The following is an 18,624-nucleotide window of genomic DNA, read 5'->3' on the forward strand; positions in this document are numbered from 1 at the left end:
TGTCCTTCACAGCACCTGCATCTCTCATCCAGATGCCCTTTGTGACTGGCCCCATGCTGAGTCACGAACCCAGAGCCCAGACCCAGGGCCTGTCATATGTGGGCATTCCAACAGTCCTCCTCCATCTGAGGCCCTTCAGGAGGGAGCCACCACCCAGAAGAGTAGGGGAGGTTTCTCAGAGCCTTAAAAGAAGAGTCAGTCTTTGATCAATCCAAGGACAGCCTGTGACCTCCCGCCTGGGACAGGAATCATGTTGGATCTGTGCACCACTGCATCCCCAGGGCCTAGCACACTGACCAAGGAGGGAGATAAGCCCACCTACAGGCAGCAGGGAGCCACTGAGGGTCTTTGGGCAGAGGAACTAGGATGGAGGAGTGTTTGTGGACAGTGGTGGTACTAGTGGTCTGGGGGCCTGGTGAGCTGCTCGTAGGAGCCCCTGAGAGTTCATGGCAAGTGTGGGAAAGCCAGTACAGGACTCAGGCAGCCCTCTCTCCTGTGCCTGACACCCCCAGGCTGGCTGCTGGCCCCAGCTGCAGGCCAGCCTGACTCTGACAGCTGACTTCTCCAAGTTGCTGGCTGTTCCCAGACAGCTCATCCCACTCCCGTCCCACAGGGAGGCCCGAAGCCAGCTTTGTCAGGGCAGTCTGGATGTACTTGTGACCCCTGAGGTGAGGGCAAACTCTCCACAGGCAATCCTGGGCATTCCACTGGGTTCTGTCCCACACAGCTGACTGGTCGGCCAGGGAGACTCTGGAAAACAGCTTGGTTGGGAGAAAAGAGTTGAAGAGAGGTGAGGGGTGAAAGTTGAGGTTTCAGAAAATCCCTGTAAAAATGAAAACAAACCATCCATCTTTCTCCTGGGTGTCTTAGCCCGCCACTGCCCTTTGTGGATCTTGCCCCAGTGTCTGTAGGGACGGCAGCTCTGAAACCTAATCCAGCAGCCAGCTAGCTGCTGCCAACCCCCACCCAGTGCAGGAATGCCCTGACAGGGCCAGCCTCTCCTGGAAGCCGTCCTGACGGAGGAGCACCTTTACCAAGCGCAGAGAGCACTTCGGGGTGTACTTTTTTCCCCAAATGAATAGCCAGCCTCCTCCCGCTTTGGCCATTGAAGCATTTCAAAGCAATTGTAAAAATTATATGAACCCCATCGAAGAACTGTTACAACAGTGTTTATACCCAGCGTTTGAAACAAAGACAATGATATTATAAATAATTGTAGATGATGAAGATAGGCAAGAAAAAATAACATAATTAAAAGAATTTTACAAGACGGACCGTTCACAAAGATGGATGGAGTAACACAATACGTTAAAAATATCTGCAATTAACATAAACACAGCCTAGTGGACAGAAACCATCTGCTGGCTGGCCTCTCCCTGGGCATGGTCCCATGTCACACAGGGCGGTGCCAGGGCCTTCACTGTGGCTGTCATGTCTCTGGGGCCCCTAGGAAGAGGCTGTCTAGGGGTATCTTTCCTTGCGGCAATCGGAGGCCCTGTGATCTGGGAATGATTGAGAAGGAAGTACAGAAACAAAAGGGAAACTGAGGACTTTCCAAGAAGGAGTGTCTTCGTGGGGTCACAGAGCTTTCTCCAGGAGCCCCTCCCTCACCCCAGATGAGGTTGGGTCCCGTCAGCTGTCCCCACACACCCAATGCTTTTCCATCACAGAGGTGGATGAATGCCCAGGGACTCCCAAGAATGAGTCATGTGGCCAGCCTCTCTGGGCCCACACATGCTCCACCTTGTGTTGGCACATAGTAGGGCCTCGGCCCCTGTGTGTTGGGTGACTGACCTATGGCTTCTGAGGCTGGCATGTAAGGTATAGGGAGCAAGGTGCGATTATTGGTCTCATGTCATTAGTGGGTGTCTACAGCAGGGCCTGACCACAGAGCTCTGGCTGGACTCTAGGTGCTTTGGGTGCAAGGTGCTTGGTGCCATTTCTCGTGATGACTGCCTGAGGTGGGCACCCCGATACCCACTGGACAAGAGCCGAGGCCCCGAGAGCCTCATGCTTAGACAGAGACTGCCCAGGAGCACACCTGAGGCTTTTATATCTTACCTCCCCTGTTATCCCATCCCCTTTTCATCACTATTTGATTTTCTAAAAGTAAAAATAAAATTTGTTTTGAACTGTGAAAAACTTTCACCATACAGAGTACAGTAGACAGCCCTGTAACCAGCAAGATCAGACAGATGTGAACTTTTTGTCACATCCTTCAATCTCTCTTCACCTCTCTTCACACCCTTCCCCTATCTTGTTTGGGGGAAGTGAAATGTACAGCTCAAGCCCTCCACCATGCTCTCTTCGGCTGGTGGCCTCACACACATGTGCAGCTTTCACACTTTTCCTGCATAGGGTGGCCTCCTGAGCAGCCTGGAGGGTTCGTACGTGCTTTACGTTTTACATACTTGGTTTCACACTGACCCAGGTGTTATTAGAACACTGATGTTTTCTTTGTGGAACTTGCTGTTCTGGTCAGCGGTTCTGGTTGACTCCATTTGACTGCTATATGTTATCCCATAGTCCGAATTAAACAATTTGTACACCTGCGACCTGTTGGGTGGGTTGTGTCCACGTCTCCACAATGCAGAGCAGTATAAGAGGGTTTCTCTAGGCAAGTAGGGTCACCTGGTGCTGGGACATGTGCACCTGTGGGTGGAGGGGGCCCCAATGGTGCCGGCCTCTCCCCCACCAGCACTGTGTTATCTGACTCACCGTTCCCGCCAGGTGATGGATGCAGCCATCTGATAATCAGAGCTGCTTTCTCCCCAGAAGTTCATGCTCAGCCTGGTTTCTTGGAGGCCTAGGATCAACCCAGAATATCAGGCCTTGACAGGGAATCTTTGGGCCTCCCCTAAGCAGAGTGGAGCTGGGATTTCTGATTGGCTCTTGCTATGGGGTGAAGGGAAACCTGGGCATTTAGTTGGAAAGCCAGGCCCCTGGCTTGCTCCATGTGATTTCCTGCTAGAGACCACCTCCTATCCATGACTTGGAGTCAGACACCCTTGGGTTTGAATGGACCATGGGTTAAGTGCCACCAGGCAGTTGGTTCACAGCTCTGCAGCCTGTGAAGAGGAAATGGGAAGCAAGTGGAGATGAATGGGTTGGGCGGCTGGTGTATATTTGGCCCTCTCCCTGAGTGGTCATCTTTATTGTTGTTAGAAAGGGATGATTGCCGATTGCTAGAAATAAATGATCAGGTCAAAGATTTGGAAACTGGCTTTGGGGGCTGGGCCTTCCCCCATGTAGTGGGATGATGTCTCATGAGGCAAGAACAGGCTTTGGGTCAAGGCCAGGATGAGTTCCATTAGGCCTGAACAGCGCCAGAGCTCTGGAGCCCCAGATCTGTACATTCATGCGTCAATCACCTCTGCGTGCCAACCCTCAGCTCAGGCTAGGACTCAGTGGCAAGAGAGACAGCTTTGGGCCTGCTTCCTGGAGCTTCCACAGAAGGGGTAGTTGGTCAGGCCCAGGAGCATAAGCTTCTGTGCAGCTGCGTGCCGTGGAGGAAGAGGGCAGGTCTGACACGGAAGGGGCATCTTCGTGGGGCCTGCAGGAAATGCAGGGCACTTCTAAGGAAGCAGCACCCAGGAGACCTGGCCCGGGGTTCAGAGTCTACAGGGTAGCAGGAAGGGCATTCTGGGAGGGATCTGCACAAAGATGTTCCTTTCCCTGAGGTGGAAAAGGAAAGAGCAGAAGGGCCTGTGGCTGGGGCAGCAGGGAGCAGGGGGAAGAACAGTGGAGCACAAGTACGCTGGGCCACGTGAGGACGCCATCCACTACCTCGGGACGGGAGGAGACACTAGAGATAGGCCCGAATGTGGTTCTGTGAAGCCACTTCCCAGGTGGCCCCAGGCAAGGCCCTCTCCTCTCTGAGTCTCCTGCTCTCTAGAATGGGGGCTATGACGCCCAGCTCCTGGGGTTGTCAGGAAGAAGAAAGCACTGCCCATCATGACCTCTCTGTAAGCCCCTCTGGGCTGCTTGTGGAGAGAAACCCAAGGCCTCAAATCAGAAATGCTTCCTTCAGACTCCTGGGCCTTGAGGCAAGTGTCATGGGAAATTGGATGCCAACCAAGCCCAGGGCAGACACGCTGTGCCAGGATTCAGCAGAGCAGGGAGCGTGCAGGGAGAGGCAACCCTATGCCCTCGTCTCAGAGCAGGCTGTGTGCGCCCAGCGGACACGGCACCAGCAGGAGCTGTGTGGGCTCGGCTCCATGCAGGTGCGCCTACGTCTATGTGTGTCCATGTATGTGTGTGCGTGCTCACGCTTTTGTGTGTGTGGTGTGTTTTTGACAGGGGGGAGGTGAGTGAGAGGCCAGCTTCCTGACAGGGCAGTTGTAAAACATTCATAAAACTTTTATTGGACTTGCCACCCTTCCAGATAAATATTTTTCGATTTTATGGGCTTGTTTTAGGACCCCAAGCTTAATCATGGCTTTGTGGCTGCCTTAAAGAAATTAAATATTGTTTTGGCAAAAGGAGCCCTCTTCCCCTACCCCTGCCAAAGGCAGCCTGAACTCTGAGCTCATAAATTCCTGCCACTCTCAACTCTTGCCCTTTTTCCCTCCGTAGTCTCAGAGCCATACTAGGATGAGCCCGAAAAAAAAAGAGGGAGAGAGAGAAGAAAAAGCAACCCCTACTCTTCTCCCTCCAGGTTCCCCAACTCCCCTGACCCTGGCGGGAAATTCAACCCAGCTCATTTGTCCACACAAGGGAGCGGGCAGAGGAGTCTGTGCTGGGCAGTCACCTGCTGCCTCCCTGAGATGGCAGGCTGCCTTGGCTGGAGGCGCCCCCATTCCCCCAGCCCCTCCCTGCCTCCTGGAAGACCTGAGTGGATCCCTGCCCCCAGTTCCTCAGATCTCATTGCCTCTGAGGCCCCACTTCCCACACTGCCTCCTCGGGCCCCTCTGAATACCCTTTCCAAAAGAACACCCCCAAACCCAGCACCATCCCGCTGTCTCTTTGCTGTACTGCCTTCCTAGCATCTAGCACTATCGGAAACTTTCTCCTGTATTCATCTATTGGTTACAAGCCTGTCCCCGTTACAGAAATAACTCACACCATGCTGGACCCCCACCCCTGGAACAGGGCCCAGGGCACAATAAGTGCTCCGTGAATATGGGGAAGGTATGCTCAGTGAATGGGGTGGGGTGATTTGGGTAAGGAATAAAAATAGTAAACATTCTTTAGACCTTGCTTTGTGCCAGCCGCTGTTCTAAGCACTTTCTGTTATATGAACTCACTTGGGCCTTACACCAAACCTGTTCCCATGTTTCAGATGAGGAGACTAAGGCGCAGAGAGGTCACATGTCTTTTGTGAAGGCACGCAGCTGATCTGCGCCTGGACTAGGGTCGGGATCTTGGTGGTCTGGGTATAGAGCCTGAGCTCCTGGCTGTGTGTTACACTGGGTTTCCTGGAGGAGGAGAGCAAGGTGGCTGTGCCCTGGCCTGGAAGGCATCAGCCAGCACTTGGCAGGCACCACCCCCTTCCTGGCCTCGTGCCAGGCCCTGAGTCAGAGGTGCTGGGGCCATAGGGCTGGGACAGGAGGGGCTCAGACTCAGATACAGATGCCTTCAAGGGGCAGGCAGGTGACAGAAATGAGGGGAGCCAGTCTCAGGTAAAAGCAGCAGCACATGAGCGGTGACAGAGAGTAGCTGGTGTGCCCAGGGCCCAGCACAGGCCCACGCCAGCCCACTGTGGCAGGGTAGGAATCCAAAGAGAAGTCTTCTAGCTTTTCAAGACAAACTAGAAGTTCAGAACTGTATGTCAAATGTCCTGATTTAAAAGGTGAGTTAGTAGTTCAAATATTTCAAAAATGCCATGGAGGCTAGATTCTACTCCCAAGCTAATATAGTTCTTTTTGATCTTTGTGAAAGTGGTGAGCCCCAGGAAGCCCAGGCACAGAGCCTAGCTAAGGAGGCCTTCTTAGAGGAGGCAGTACTGAGTTCCATCTTGGAGGAGGGTGGAGAGACAGCCTGGGGAGAGGTGTTCCAGGCAGAAGCGTCCGTGGCTCTGCCCAGGAGAGAAGGTACCACTGCTGCCCAGAGTGGCTGGGCTGTGGAGGACTACACAAGGGAACCAGATACCTAAATGCTGGAAGAGGTCGGGGTTTCCCCTGCAGCAGCCTGATGGAGCCTCCAGAAGACCTCATGGGCCATGTTGTGAGTGGACTGGTTCAGAGGTGATTTGTGGGGTCCAGCTGCCAGAATGGGGTGTCCCAGGATGGAGATGAGCAGACCAGAGCAGAGTGAGTGTGGGGGTGAAGTGCTCAGGACCCAGCATACACAGGTGGCATTGCCAGCTTGTGGGGGCCTTACCAAAGCCCTGTAGGCGGGCACCCGTCTCTCCCAGCATTCCCACATGCACGCATGCACAAGCACGCCAGTTGCTGGGGATGGAGTGGAGGGTACAAGGCCTGAGGTGGCTGTACCCCTGAGCCCCTAGGGAATGCAACTGAGGCTGGAGAGGGAACACGTCCAAGGTCAAGAACTCGTTGAGGGACCACATCAGAGGAACAGAGCTTTAACTTCATTCAGCCGCTGTTTCCCAAGCATTTGCTGGGCTAGTGCACAGGGGTTTCCTCACTGACTCCTCCTCACTGTCTGCCAAGAGAGGTGGTATTATCTATCCCCCTTCCACAGAGGAAATTACTGAGGGCCAAAGTGGTGCAGGGCTGTCCCCAGGTTGCCCGCACAAAAGCAGCAGTGGTGGGACAGGTCCCAGACCCCCCAGTTGCCCCCTGCTATCTCCCTGGAAGTCCATACTGGGTTTTGTTTGAATGTGGGGAAGACCAATACAGGCAGACCATCCTACCATTATGATTTTACCAAACCCCATAGATGTCAGGCTTCCTGGCCCAGGACAAGGAGTGGCAGAGGCATAGCTGCCAGGCACCTTGTCCTAGCCCAGCTCCCTCCTCCTCCAGAGAAAGTCCCCAGGCCACCCCAAGGTGTAGCATGCAGTCTGGACACCTCCAGGCTCTCCAGAGCAGTCCCAGCAGCTGCTATAGCTCAGACCCACGATAAGACCCAACCCTGTAGGTTTCAGAGCTGGCCACAGGGGCCAGGCAGGCAGCGCAGGAGAGTAGCCCGACTGGGGGACTGCAGTGGGGAGCGGGGAGTGTGGTGTACAGGGACCATACATCCTGTCTGAAGGGGCAGCCTGTGCTCACCTCAAGCCACCTGCTGCCCTGGGAATGCAGGCCCACATTTTAAAATGTTGACAACTAGTCCACAATTTTTAAAGCACATGAAGAGGCCAAAGCAAACATACCTAAGGGTCAACTTTGACCCACAGGCAGCAGATTGTGAGTGCGGCTGTGGCTTGCAGGGTGTCCTCCCACACACAGCTCAGTGAGCTTGCCATGCACCAGTCCCGATGAGAACAACAGTGGACACTAACATTTACTACATGCCCAGCACGTGCTGACTGTTTTATATGAGTTACCTCATTGACTTATGAGTTCCATTCCACCACTCACTGGCTAAGCTTGGAGAGTGCAAGGGCCTCACCCGGACTCACGATCTGGCTCATGAGGCTGGCCCTCTGCCCGCAGCCCTCAGCTCCCTAGCCTGAATCTGGGCAGAGGAACAAGAGGCAGGAGGCTGAGGCCTGGGGCACGACACTGATAGGCAGGTCAGCCCAGAACAGTCCAAGGAGGCCTGGTTCTAAGGGAGGGAACATCCCACGGTGGAACATGAGCAGCAGTTCCCCAAGTGGGCTGCTCACATCCACCCTGGGCGTGTGCAGGATGACTCTAGGTAGTCCACAAATAAGCCCCCAAAGAATGTTCACAGTTACATGTTGATTTTAACAGGTACTCTATTTATGTCAAGGGAGACTGGATTTCCACTTATGGCAGCATAGAATGTTCTCTAATTGAGTTAGATGAGTTGACTAAAGAAATCTTTAGTAAATAGTCGAAGTGGTGGCAATGGGTATGGCAGAACTAGTGATGCTGAGAAAGATTTGGGAAGTCCTGGGGGAGATTTGAGAGTTTTGATGGGTGAAGTAGGGTTCAGGTGGGCCTTCCAAGGGTGCATGAAATCTACCCCAGGGAGAGAAAGAATGACCTACAAGTTGGGGCCATACCCTAGCAGGCTGCAGGCTACCTATGCCCTGAAAACGTTCTCAAAAATCAGGAATTTTCATGTAAAAAATCCAGATTTCCAGTTTCTCTTGAAAAGCAGGGTGTTCTGTCCATGCTGAGCACATCCCCTCCAGTTCCCCAGGGCCCCCAGCCCTGTGGGATATGGTATCAGCTGAGACAGGCAGTGGGGGGGGGATGCAGTGACAGGTGACACCACAGCTGAGGGTAGTGAGGCCAGGCCTTCATGGTGGCACAGCCAGGCCCCATGGCTGCTGTGTGAGTCTGCATTGCTATAAAGGAACACCTGAGACTGGATAATTTATTTAAAATAAAATTTTAAAAAGGCTGTACAGGAAGTATGGCACCCGTATCTGCTTCTGGTGAGACCTCAGGAAGCTTACAATCATTGTGGAAGGCAAAGGGGGAGCAGGTGCATCACATGACAAGAGAAGGAGCAAGAGAGTGAGGAGGAGGTGCCAGGCTCCTTTAAACAACCGGCTCTCACATGGACTCACAGAGCGAGAACTCACTCATCACTGTGGTGAGGGCACCAAGCCACTCATGAGGGATCCGTGCCCATGATCTAACACCTCCCCCGAGGCCCACCTCCAACACTGGGGGTCACATTTCAACATGATATTTTGAGGGGACAGACATCCAAACCACATCATATGCTGGCCTCTGCAGCCTCCTCCCAGGCAGGGCTGCCAGGTGCTCACCCCTCATAGGCCTGGCTCTGTGAATTACCACAGGGCCCAGGTGAGGAGGATGGACAACTTGCCTGGTGGCGCGTGGGCAGCTCCCTCAGGGCTGGCAACACCAGCCACCCTCCTCGGCCCTGTGCTCCTCCACTGGTACTGCACCTGGCCGCAGGGGCTGCAGGGGTCACAGGGGTATGGGAGCCATGGACTGGGGGGCTTTGGCTCAGGAGGTGGCTCCTGAGGACAGAGGCAGTGTTCTGTCCCTTCTGGTCAGACCCATCTGCCCAGCATATGCTTGAGTTTTGCTTTCATAAAAATATCCACATGTCCTGGCAGTTCTCAATAGTTCTGACTATTTAGGAAAGATAAGTATACACCTTCTTCAAAGTTCAGAAATGAAGGTGCTGTGTGGCAAGACACAAAGGTGCATGAGTCCAGGCTCGCAAAAGTCGTGATGCCAAGAAAGATCTGGGAAGTCTGGGGGGCGTCGAAGAGTTTTGATGCGTGAAGTGGGGCTCGGGTGGGCCTTCTGAGGGTGCGAGAAATCTACCCCAGGGAGAACAGATACCAGCCTGAATTAAGTCGGCTGCTGGCCTCTCCTCAGCTCAGCCCAGAATGGGAGAGGAGGCTATGGACTGGCACGAAGAAGGATCTTTGTCACGTGTGCTTAGCATTGGATGGCAGGGCCAGGCTGGGCTGGCCCCTGTGGCACCACCAAGACCCCTCCCTACAGGCTCCACTGGGGCTGGGGAAAGGAATGTGCACCTATGGAGTCCTGCGCGCATATGGAGGCCCACTCAAACCCTGCGAGTGTATGGAGCCCCGCTTGCATGTTTGGAGCCCTGGCAGCCCCCACCTGATGTGCCTGCCCCAGGCAGCATGGAGCACTTCCTGGAGGAAGTAGGTCTCAGCCAGCCTTTTCTAGATGGGCACGGGCAGGCACTGGATGGCTATTTAGGCATGAGGGTGCCACGAGCAGAGACCTGGAAGCTCAAGTAAGGTGCAGCCATTAGGGTGCCAGGAGAAGGAGGCCTAGTGGCCCAGCCAGCCCCTGGGGTTGCCCTGTCCAGAGCCTACACCCACCAGGTCCTCACTCTGAACTGGCAGTGGCAGAACCACGACTTGAGAAAAAAAGTCCTTTCTCTGAGCTCTGTTCCTCTTTCCATTGCTCCCGCTCTTAGAGTCTTCCTTTTTTTAATATCCAATTTGGTCGCCTTCCTTGGGGACAGCCACAGAAGGGGTCCAGCCCTGTTGGCAGCCTCTTGCCCCCGCCTCCACTAACTCGCCTCCAGCACTACCTCCTCTAGCTGCCTGCATGCCAAGTCCCCCTCCAGTGCTTCCTGACACCCCTTCTCGGACCCCTCAATTTATCTACAGTCCATCTCTGCCTTCGAGCTCCTCCAGGGTGGGGAACAGGGAACAATCTGCCTGCCATGAGTCCGCAGCCACCAGCAGCGGGCTTGGCCAGGGTCCACGCTCTGTAACTGCCGTTTAGGTGGGGTCTGAGCCCCCGGCTGCCTGTGACATGTCTGCCCAGGTGGGCTGTGTCTCCACTGCAGCACCCACTGCTCTCCAGTGAGGGACTGGCCTGGCCCGAGCCTCCTGAGTTTGCTGAGTGAGGCCACTGCTGTGTAAGGCCCATTCCCTGGTGTAGTCTGCCTGTACCCCTCATCCCTTTGCCTCTTCGAGGCCTTCTCCTGGTCGACTGTGTGCTTTCAGTGGTGCCGGCCAGAGCGTCTAGCAGAGAGGCCAACTGCTGCCTCTAGCCCCTGAGCCCTTGCAGGGGTGTTTTTTGAAACTCAGTCCAGAAGACGTGAAATGGAGGAGGGCTGTCTGTCTTGCCTTCCTGACTAGAGGTAGAGGGTCCCCAAGCTGCAGGTCTGCTGTTGGTTCTTCAGGGCCTCTTCAGTCCACCTGACACCCACTCTTGATTTCTGGGTCAGGAGCCTGAGGAACTGCCTGGACTGTCCCTGTGCCTCATGTGGTGCTGGGACCCAGGAGCCACAAGAGGTAGTCAGCTGGGGCCACCACCTGAAGGGCAGTCTGTAGGGCAGGAGTTCCAGGCAAGGGAGCCGGTGTGCCCTGGGCCGAGGCAGCCTGCGGTGTCCTGTGGCCGGAGCCATGGGGATGGAGGCTGGAGGGAGGCAGGCAGGCAGAGGTGCTGCAGCGAGGCATCTTAACCCAGCTAAGGAGGGAGCGCAGACATCTGGAGCAGCAAGGGTGCTGACACTCACCCGAGGACATCACAGCCCTGCAGAGGAGGAAGACAAGCCAGGCCGCCCACCACTCTGGCAGGCATTTTGGTTGGGGATGGGCGGGCATAACAGGACACAGGAGGTCATCCGATGTCCACATTTCCCCACACAGAGTGGTCCTGCCTGGCACCGTCTCAGCCATCCCAGACAGATTTTCTGTTCAGCCTTGGTTGCCATATGAGGACTCCACCCAGAGGGCCCACATGGCCTCCTAAGTCACAAGTGGTTGGTGGTAAACCCAGGCCTAGAGCCCAGGTTTCTGGCTATCCCCCTGGAAGAGGCCCACCTTGGGCACTTGGGAACAACCCCTGACCATCCTTGAGCCCACGCTGCTGGGTGAGGCTGGCCGCCTTGCTGCAGGAAGCCTGGTTTATAAACAAGTCCAGTTACAGGAAGATCGGGAGGGTTTTTGGTTTTCACTGGACGTGGTTGTTTCATGGACCCACCCCAACAGGGAGCATGGCATGCTTGACCTTGGGAAAGGGAGGCCTTGGCTTAACGCCGAGAGCCTCATCTGCCAGCAGAGTGATGTGGTGTGGACTGAGGCTGCTCCAGCAGAATGGGCAGGGCAGGCCCCAGATGTGAACTAACTAGCTTGAGAGAGCACCTAGCCGGTCAAGCCTAGCCCACGTGGATCCAGTCCCACCTTCTTTCCATGTTGGTAGCAGAAGCTGGGAGTCCGGTTGCAGGGGTGGCTGAGTTGGCAGCGCCCGTAAGATGCTGTGGATTTGGATTTGGGTCCTGGAGGCAGGGAGGCCCAGTGTCATGGGTATGCTACCACCACACAACTATTTTAAAATAGAAGGCGCTGGCCCTAAATTTTTCTCGTATCATCACATTTATCTGCATCTTGTGAAAGTGCTTTGCCTCATGAACAGTCCCATAGTTGGGACTGTTTCTCCTGGATATAATTTACATTGTTGTGACAACTCAAAGTCATGATTAACACAAAAGTGGGACTTGGGGTCACTCAGTGGAGTGATCTGTGCAGTCACTTCTCCTCATTCATCCTCTCACCTGTCCGCTCTGTTAATGTGTACTATATAGAGGAGGTGGCATTTGCTGGGGAGAGCTGGCTGTGAGATGGGCATGGGCCCAGGAACAAGCACAGCCAGGCTCAGGAGGGGTGCATGTGGGGAAGGGACCTTTTCGCCTCTTTGCCACTGTATTTTGGGAGGTAGAGGGGGTTAGAGCTTTGACCACCACAGAAGGGGGTGAGACAGATGTGAATCACCTTCGCCAAATGAAAAAACCTAACCCAGAATGTTAGTTGCTTTGGGCTTCTGTGTCTGAAAGAGAGAGGCCCTTGCTTGCTGTTCTCTACAGACAGTCATGCTGGAGTGGGCCCTGCAGGCCTGGGCTGGAAGCGACACAGGACACAGCGGCCACAATCTACCTCTTCTCCCTGCTCCATGCTGTGGTCTGTGCCCAGGGCCCAAGGCAGCCAGAGGGCCCCTGCCCTCAGGAGCCAGACCCAGCCCCTCTGCAGATCTAGCAGGAGACCCCACTTTCTGCACCACTCGGGCACCCACACAAACACACCCTCATACCCCATGATCACCCCGGCTCCATCTCCTGCTCTCCCCACACGCTGGCCCCAGTGCTGGCCCTTGGGGCCTTTGCTTGGCGCCCTCAGGCTGGGTGTTCTTCCCTCCCAGTGTCCTCATCCCTCACAAGTCCCTGTTCAGATGTCATCCCACCCTGGGCCCTTTGCTGATCACTATCTAAAGGAGCAAAACACCCTCTTGACACTCCCCTCTCCCGAGCAGCTGGCACCACCTGTCATACGACACATGGATGTGTTGGCATCGCCTGTCTCCCACCAGAACGCCCACACTGGGCCTGCGTGATTCCCTCACCTCTGCAGCCCCGCCCCCGGTGCATGCCTGCATAGAGTAGGTGCTCGCTAGCATTCTTGATTAAATGAATGCACAGACTCCCTGGCCTGGGTCAGCCATGGCATTCTCCAAACCACAGTTCCTTGCCCTCTAAAGCAGTGGCTGGTGCTGTGCTCATTAATTCCAAAAGGCAAGAAACGAAATGGTCTCCCGCCCCAAGCTATGGAGAGCTCTTCAGGACAGCAGCCTCCCATCTGTCTCCCCAGAGGCAGAAGAGCCCCACACCTGGGTTGGGGTGGCCTCCCAGTTGACCACCAAAGGTGTTTCCAACCTCGAGGTTCTGGGCCCTGGCTGGTGACCAAGTGGGGAAGCCCATCTGGGGAAGGCAGGGAGGACATGGCCACGACTGTCGTGGTGGTGCCCTCCAGGCCTGCTCAGGGTGTGGTGGAGTCCAGGCATGGCAGGAGTGAGTGATAGAGCAAGCGCTTTGAAGCAAGCCAATGCTCCCAGTTCCCTGACCCTCACCGATGGGCTCTTCTCTCTCAGCACATTTTTAAAGTTTGGTTCCTGGCACCCGTTCCTATCAGGTGCTCTCTCATTCCTTTGCACATTTCTCTACACATATATGTGGGTCTTGCACCCCCTGGACTGTGGACTCCACCAGCATAGCGGCCCCACCTGGCCCACTCAGGCAGTCCTCAGAGTCTGGGACAGTGCCTGGTGCCCAGCGGGTGCTCTGAGGGCAATCATGGGCAGAAAGACAAGCAACGAATGCAGGAGTGAGCTTCTGCTTGTGCTGTGCCAGAGGGAGGCGCCCAGCACCATGGATGCCCTGTGGGGGCCATTGGAGGGAGTCTGCAAGCGCTTCCAGAAGGGCGAGTGCCTGAGTGTGCCCCAGCCGTGGCTTCCCTGGGTCCTGTCTTTGCGGAGAGCATGGTGATCCTTTGCTCCTCTTCACCCAGTTTGCAAGAGTGAGGTGGCCAGCTGAGGGCAGAGCTATGTGTTCTGGGGTAGGGATCTGCAGCTCTTAACAGCCTGCTGGCAGCCCTCATGCCCAGTGCTAGCCTCTGTTGTCTCTGAGCCAGGGCATGCGGGACCCAGAGTGGGAGTTAGGCAGAAGAGACCCGCACCAGCCCCCCGTGAGGGCAGCAGACATTGCAGATGCAGGTTCTGGAGCCAGCCGCCTAGGTTCAAAGCCAGGCCCCCTATGTCCTGGCTGTGGGAACTGACGCAAGTCATTCATGCCATGTCAGCTGGTTGTTCCTCACCGGGGAGCAGGGTTCCACATGTGGGCCCTGCCCACCAGGCATGCAGTCTTGCACAGACGGGGCCTGCCCAGGGAGGCAGGGTCATTGTCCCCTTGTAATAGGCGAGGGGACCCAGGGTACCTCAGCTCACCCGTGACAGAACCTGCCATCCACCTGTATTCTGGACAGGATCTACTTCCATGGGCCGAGGCACGCGGCATCTCGCTTAGGGCCTAGCTGTCATGGGCACTCAGTGCCATTGCTGCTGCCCTGACCCAGAGCATCCCTGGCCCCACACAGAGCCAAACAAGTGACAGGAGGCTGCCCCTCACGCCAAGCTCCCTTCCCAGCATGCTGCCCAGACCACTGTGCACAACCACTCCCGCCTCACCCCTGAGCCTACTTGTGCCCACCTGAGAGAGTGTGGGGGGATGACAGAGGCTGGGCCTGGCACACACAGGCTGCTCGGGTGCTGCCCTAGGCTCGCTGTCTGCTGGCTCCACGTGCCCTCGGGCTGGTGTGGGGCACCATGAGCAGGGAAGGGGGTGGTGGGTACAGCCCCCTCCCCAGACCTCCTTCAGTGTTTGCTGTCTCCTGTGGCCCTGGTTTCCCTTGGTTTTCAGGGTCTTCAGAAGACAGGGGGCCTCCTCTGAGCCCAGCCTTGCTGTCAGAGGCCCACATGTGGCAGCCATGTGTCCATGGGAAGGAGCAGGAGGTGGCAGCTTTTCCCAGCGCCCAGGCACCTGGCCTTTAAGGCTTCCACATACTTTGTTTAAAAAACAAAGAAGAAGCTTTCTTTCCAGAGCCCTCTGTGGGGCCCTCCCTATCTCAGGCCCTCTCTGAGGGCTTCCCCCTTCCCCATCATAACAGCAGGACCCATTTCACAGACAAGGAGGCTGAAGTTCAGTGCACCACCCCCCAGGCACCTGCAGAGCTGAGCACCTTTCCAGGGTACTGGCCTGGCTGCTACAGGGACAGACCTGGGAAAGAGGCCATGATGACAGCTGTCCTTTTGGTACACACGCTGGTGTGTCCCAGATGGGAGTCCTGGCGTTCACGCTGCTGCAGAAACATGAACACCAGCTCTGTTTCACTGGTGTTGGCTCTGTCCCCAAGACCCATCCTTACTAGCCCTTGGAGCCCAGGCTTCTGAGGGTAGAGGGACACCTGGCCAGAGGTGCTCCAAGCTGAGGCCTATGCACTCCAAGACCGGGGGGCAGCATATCCCAGGTGTAAAACAGCCCCCACCCAGCCACAATGCAGGATCTGAGCCTGTGGCCACTAAGAGATGCAACCTGCCCAGGGCAGAGGCACAGACTGTGTTTTGGAAGAAAAGACGCACAGTGCCACTAGACAAGGCCCTCTAGCCCCTCAGCAGCAATGCTGGACAGTACTGGGCCAGGGGGCTACTGCAGAGAGCCCGAGTCCATGGCTGGTGAGCCAAGAGGCAGTTACAGTGGGAGGTACTGAGGGCTGTGAGGTAGGTGCAGGGCCAGGGACCAGGATGTGGCCACTTATGGGCACCTGCTTTGTGCCTGGCCCTGTCCTGGGCATTGGGGACCCATTTGGTCACATAGGCCTGAGAGCTGAGGTGGACACACGGCCAGTGGGTGACACGTGTGCAGCAGGAGTGCAGCCAGCATCAGAAAGCGTGTGGGCATTCCAGTGGGGCGGTGGCGGGGGCGGGGGGTGCGGAGGTCAGCCCATGGGCATACCTGCCTCCCCTGGGCCTTGCAGCCACAGGCCACCTCTGGGATCTGCCTCCGAGGGACAGTGTGTGGGCACATGGCCATCAGCACAGACACAGGGTGCCAGGCCCCAGCCCCTGTACCCACGCTCACCCTGGGCCTCAGCCCCTGCAGGTCAGGGAGGGATAGACTGTTGGAGTCTGCAGCTTTCAAATCAGGAGTGTGGGTGGGGACCAGAGATGCCACGCCACCCCTGCCCTTCCCCTGTCAGCAAGAGGACAGCCAGCACCGCCGCCTGCCCACGGCCTCTCGCTCTGCTCTGGGAACAGGGCTGATACAGTAATCAGGGTGCTACATATGGGCTCTGGAAAATGACTGCTCCCCGGGCCTTTGTTCGCCTTCATTATTCTAGACGGTTTTTTTCCCCCACCAAGTCATAAAAATGACATTTTTAATATGTGGATTTTTTTTTTAAAGAAAAGCAATATGAAGAAGACTTTTATTGTCAATAAGCTCTACCTTTTAAACCAGTTATCTTAGTTTCTGCTCTAGGTATTTTAATTGAAGATTAACTGCTGTTAAAGAGTATACACATTTAGGGAGTGAGTGTTTGGAGTATTAAAATTCGGCTCCCTTGGTGGGGATGGAGCTCCACGGGAGGCCACCAGGAACCATGCTCCCCCAATGGCCAGCCTTGGGGGGCTGTCTGAGGAGGAGGGCCGCCTGCAGGAGGGGCCCATCCTTGCCTCTGGCCACAGCCTTTTCTTTCATTGGAAGGGGCAGGCTGGGGTGAGTCCTAGCCCCACAGGGGAGCAGAGGACAGCCTGAGAGCATATGGCTGTGTGGTCAGAAGGGCATCCTGGCCCGGCCTCTGCACCCTTGGTTGAAGCAAGCCCTTCCTTCCCCTTGGCCAGCCATTGGGTTTGGGCACAAAGGAAGGAGAGAGGGAAAGGGCCACTAACCGAGCACTCTGTGTGCCAGGACTTCTGCATGCAGCGTTGGTCTCCACGGCCATGAGCGAGGGGAGTGTCCTCCCTGTGCTGCTGGCAGCATGGGGCCTTATGTCCCTAGAGCATCTATGACCCCGGGCAGGCCTGTCCCCCTCATTAGACACGTCCCCAGCATCCTCACAGCATCAGGAGGTCAGGCGCCTGTTATCCCTGCGTCACAAGCAGACAGGAGGTTTCAGCATGTGTGTGAGGCCTCCGGGCCAGAAGGCAGAACGGGAGCCATGGGGAGTGGGTCAGCTCCCAGACCCTCAGCCAGGGCCTCAGCAGGGCAGCCATCAGTGGCCCACTCCTGCCTGACCCACTGCTCCATTGAGGCCATGCTGCCTCACTGAGACCTGCCCAGGGAAATGTCACCTTTTCCACCACAGTCTTCCTGACCCCAGCTTCCTTCCTCCTCCTCCTCTGAATGCCCGGGTGTGACTGTCTGTGGCTCCTTCCCTTTCTTCCCAGGGCTTTTCACTGCTGTCATGGGTGGTTTGCATCCAAGTCTCCCTCTATCTCAAGATGCCTGTGAGAGAACAAAAAGAGGAGAAAACTAGCTCTGCATTTCCCTGTTCTTTGTCAGGCCCAGCTTCCTCCCAGCAGAGTGGGACTCCTGCCAGGCCTCCCTCACAGGGGATCGTGGCCGTGCAATGAGGCGGTGTCTGTCCAGTGCACAGCCCAGCACACCCAGGCCAATCAGCAGCCAGGAACGGGGCCCAGCAGAGGGCTGAGCCTCAGTTGTAGCTTAGTTAGCCCCGAGCTGACGGAGACACAATGATACAGCACCCTCAGCCACAGCCATGATCAGAATGGCAGTGGCCTCTCTTTACCAAGCGCTTCCTGGAGAGAGCCGGGCCATGTGTCTTATTCCCACCATCCCTCACCCCAACTGAGGAAAAAACCAAAGCTCCGAGCAGGCCAGTCAAGCTGCTGTGTCACCAAGCCTGGTGTCCAAACCCCAGCCATGAGCACAGAGCTCAGGCTCTGACAGCACCACTGTCATCCCTGCCTGCCCTGCAGGTGTCAAGGCCTGCCTTCAGGACCTGAGATGGCCTGGACAGCCACCATTCCAACCAAACAGAACCTGCTGAAGGAATGGCCCTGCCCTCTAGGGGGTCCCTCATTCTAGAGGCACATGTGTATCTGTGTGTGGTTTGTGTGTGTGTATGTATGTCATGGACCAGGCCTGGCTTACCAACAGTACAGGCACAGGGTGGCAGCTGGCGGCGCTAGTGGAGAAGAGAGACAGCCCCTTCCTCTAGCTCCAGCTACCTGGAGAGGAAGCTGGGCTTCTCCAGCTACTGGCGAGGACATGTGATCTCTTCTCTGCCACTGACTGTGTGACCTTGGGCACATCAATTTGTGTCCCTGGGCCTCCATTTCTACCTCTCAATGATGGAGTGGATAATGTACCCTCCTCACATGAGTTGAGGCACAGAAAGCACTTTTCTGATCCTTCCTACCCCAAGCCCTGTGCCAGGCACTGGGACACACTGTCAAATGGGATCGTCTCCGCCCTCCCAAAGCCCCCATCCATGCAGGAGTTGGACACACAGCTGCTGAGAGCTGGGACTGGTTCCTGAGGGTGGATGGCCTACTGGGCATGAGGCTGTGGTGCTGTGAAGGGTTTGAGCTCAGGCCCACCACGTTCTTGCTGTGTTACCTTGGGCAAGTTCCTGAGTGCTCTGTGCCTCAGTTTCCTGGTGTGTGTGAATAGCATGATTGTGAACTGAGGTTTGCTGTTGTCTGTGGAGCATGTGGAATGGTGCCTAGCCTGTAAAGGTGCAGCAAACATTAGCTGTGATTGCTA

The 18,624-nt window shown here is 55.9% G+C and overlaps 1 protein-coding gene across 8 annotated transcripts in view, besides 3 other annotated features; it reads left to right on the forward strand.

The window, feature by feature from the left end:
• EEFSEC (eukaryotic elongation factor, selenocysteine-tRNA specific) overlaps window positions 1–18,624 on the forward strand; it is a 272,743-nt gene that overhangs the window by 224,721 nt on the left and 29,398 nt on the right. The gene's annotated exons all lie outside the window — the stretch shown is intronic.
• Window positions 7,205–7,499: a silencer, noted in NCBI's record as "tiled region #10596; K562 Repressive non-DNase unmatched - State 7:EnhWF". NCBI's record gives its function as "represses a minimal TATA promoter and a strong SV40 promoter by Sharpr-MPRA in K562 cells {active_cell/tissue: K562}" and the evidence as "EXISTENCE:reporter gene assay evidence [ECO:0000049][PMID:27701403]".
• Window positions 10,259–10,848: an enhancer, noted in NCBI's record as "H3K4me1 hESC enhancer chr3:128107303-128107892 (GRCh37/hg19 assembly coordinates)". NCBI's record gives its function as "activates a minimal SCP1, AML or CMV promoter by ChIP-STARR-seq in primed H9 embryonic stem cells {active_cell/tissue: H9 hESC(primed)}" and the evidence as "EXISTENCE:reporter gene assay evidence [ECO:0000049][PMID:30033119]".
• Window positions 10,849–11,436: an enhancer, noted in NCBI's record as "H3K4me1 hESC enhancer chr3:128107893-128108480 (GRCh37/hg19 assembly coordinates)". NCBI's record gives its function as "activates a minimal SCP1, AML or CMV promoter by ChIP-STARR-seq in primed H9 embryonic stem cells {active_cell/tissue: H9 hESC(primed)}" and the evidence as "EXISTENCE:reporter gene assay evidence [ECO:0000049][PMID:30033119]".

This window comes from Homo sapiens, chromosome 3 (assembly GCF_000001405.40).
Source record: "Homo sapiens chromosome 3, GRCh38.p14 Primary Assembly".
NCBI classification, from domain to species: domain Eukaryota; kingdom Metazoa; phylum Chordata; class Mammalia; order Primates; family Hominidae; genus Homo; species Homo sapiens.